This window comes from Homo sapiens, chromosome 8 (genome assembly GCF_000001405.40).
Source record: "Homo sapiens chromosome 8, GRCh38.p14 Primary Assembly".
Taxonomy (NCBI): domain Eukaryota; kingdom Metazoa; phylum Chordata; class Mammalia; order Primates; family Hominidae; genus Homo; species Homo sapiens.
In genome coordinates, this window is record NC_000008.11 from 16,353,222 (window position 1) to 16,355,940 (window position 2,719).

Consider the following 2,719-nt stretch of genomic DNA (forward strand, 5'->3'; position numbering starts at 1 on the left):
TGTCATGGTTGGTAGAGCAGAAAATAGCTTTATCTGTATTCTTCTTTAATAAGTGAGACAGAGAATTCATCTAATGTCCAAGGGGAGCAATTAGCCCTAAATAGCAGTAGTGAGAGCTTATTTATAATAACAGAAAAATCAGAGCTATTCTTTGACCACTGCAGGTCAGATGGTGGCGGTATATGTGGTAATGGGAACTTATGAAATTTTTCTTCTGATTATTTCTGTTTCTGTCAGTAAACAGGAAGTAAGGTTATAAGTTGAGAATGATGAATTGAAAGGAGTGAAGGTATGAAGATGTGGAATAACCCTTTAAATGAGTGACAGAGAAGTGTATTTGTAAGACTCTTAGCTCACTTGGTATAATTAATCATGCATTTAAAGTCAATTCAATCACCATGCGTATGTGTTTATTTCTAACCAAGTTCAGTGACTTCGAGCAGGAACAGAGTAAATGGAGAAATACATTTAATTAGAGTTAGTATTTCACTAGGAGAATATGATGGAAGCAGAAATGAGCAAAAGAGTGAATATGGGAGTTATTAAATGATTATTTGTGCAATTTAAAGTAGCAGAGATGAAATTAGGGATATGAAGCAATGAGAGACAGTGATAAGAAGATAGTATGAATGGAAATTACATCTAGCAGTGTAAAAAATTCCAGGAGTCAGTGAACGAGGGGAATTGAACTGAGAAGTAAGATGTAATAGTTGGAGATTGAAATCCTTGAAATTTTTATTATAGAGAAGGTGAATTTCTGTGTAATGACAAGTTTTAGAGTGTGATAGGGCTGGGTAATTGAAGTCAATGACTGGATATGAGGAGAGGAGACCAAATTATTAAGAAGTCAAATTATTAGAAGAGTCATCAACAAATAAAAGTGTCACGAGAGAGAGAGTAGCCCTGGTGCTGAAATCTTAAGGAGTGATAGAAATGGGAGAAGATTTTGACGATAGGGTTAGTGGATTGTACAATTTGAAGGAATTAACTTAGGAAATGATGATGTTAGACAAATATTTTTTAATGTCTCTCATTGAAATATCACGATTTCCTCCATAAAGATCTTTCACATTCATTAATTCATTCGGTAATTATTTACTAGGAGCCTAAGCCCCGTTCCGGACATTAGAAATCTAGCCACTTAACTTTGTCACCGCCTTACTAAAATATTGCTCTCATATTTAAATAATCTGGAGGAATTTTTTAAAATGTTAAGCAAAACACCACATTCTTCAGCTCAAACTCATCCAGTATTGACTCATTACATGCAAAAGAAAATAAAATTATTTTACCATGTCCTAGAAAATCTCTCTTGTTGGGAAAGGCAGTCATATGCATGCAGTCTTTTGATGATGCTGGGCTGCACAAGAATGGTCCTGGAGATGGAGACATTTTCTTACCAAGACAGAAAGAGCAGTCACAGTCTGTGTTGGCCTTACGGCCATGTACGGGAATGTCTTACTTTCTACCGATCTCAATATGTGTTCCTTTGCTCTACTTAAGCGTATGTGTCATATAGCACCTCGCCAACCCCACTAGTACGTGTGTACTATGAAGTCCTTCTCCTGCAACACAAGAGGAAAGGTAGGCTGTAGAAGGAGCTTGTTCTGGCCATGGGGGACCCACAGCCACAATGGAAGCTGATCTGGCCCTGCCTCTGTATGTGAGCAAAGCATTGCTCCACACCATGCCTGCAGGTTGTGTCTTCCTTGGATACTCTGAACCATGGAGTGAGTTGGATGTCCTGGGACTGCTGTTCCTGCTGGCAGCATTATGCTATTTGCTATTCTCCATGAAATGGACTCCCCTGCTATCACCAACAGAGGTGGAAAAAGGTGTGTCACTTGCCGCACAGTTACACACACAAGATCTGGCTCCTGTCTTCCTCTCCAACGGTTTTCTTATACCAATCATCTCCTTCCACACTTCCAAACTGTTTTGAATGGCCAAGCTTCTATCCTTCAGTGAGACATTATATTAGTTGTTCGTTCTGCCTGGAATTCACTCTCACCAGATCTGTATAAGGCTGCTAAACACTTGGGTTATTCACATGCCATCTTTCCAAGGAGGTCCCCTCCAAAACACTCAATTAAAAATAGTCATCAGTCATCATTCTTGGTCCTAAACTTGGCTCCATTTTCTTGATAACACTAATGGTCTATGAAATTCAACATTTAAAATTGTATAAAATTATATTTATCACTTGTATATTGTGTGTCTCACACACATATGAATTTTTTCAGGAGAGCAGACCCTTATTTTGTTAACCACTTAATCTTTAATTACTAGAATAGTTCACAGAACACAGGAGGTGTGTAGAAACACTGTGAAAGGAAAGGGGAAGAAGGAAGTAAGAAGGGGGCAGGAGATGAAGAAATTTTGAGAATGTCTGCTTACTGCCTTTGAACTCGAATACAAAATGCACTTTATTTAGACTGTGCAGGTCCACTTATATATGGATTTTCTTCAACTTCTTCCCCCTCCTCCTCAGTCTGCTCAGTGTGAAGATGATGAGGATGAAGACATTTAAAAAGATCTATTTGCACTTAAATATATTTTATTTTCCTTATTAATATCATTATTTTTTCTCTAGCTTACTTTATTGTAAGAATGCAGTATACAATACATGTAACATGCAAAATATGTGTGTTGATGTTCTCAGTAAGTCTTCTAGTCAACTTTTAGTAGTTAAGTGTCTGGGGAGTCAAAAGTTGCAGTG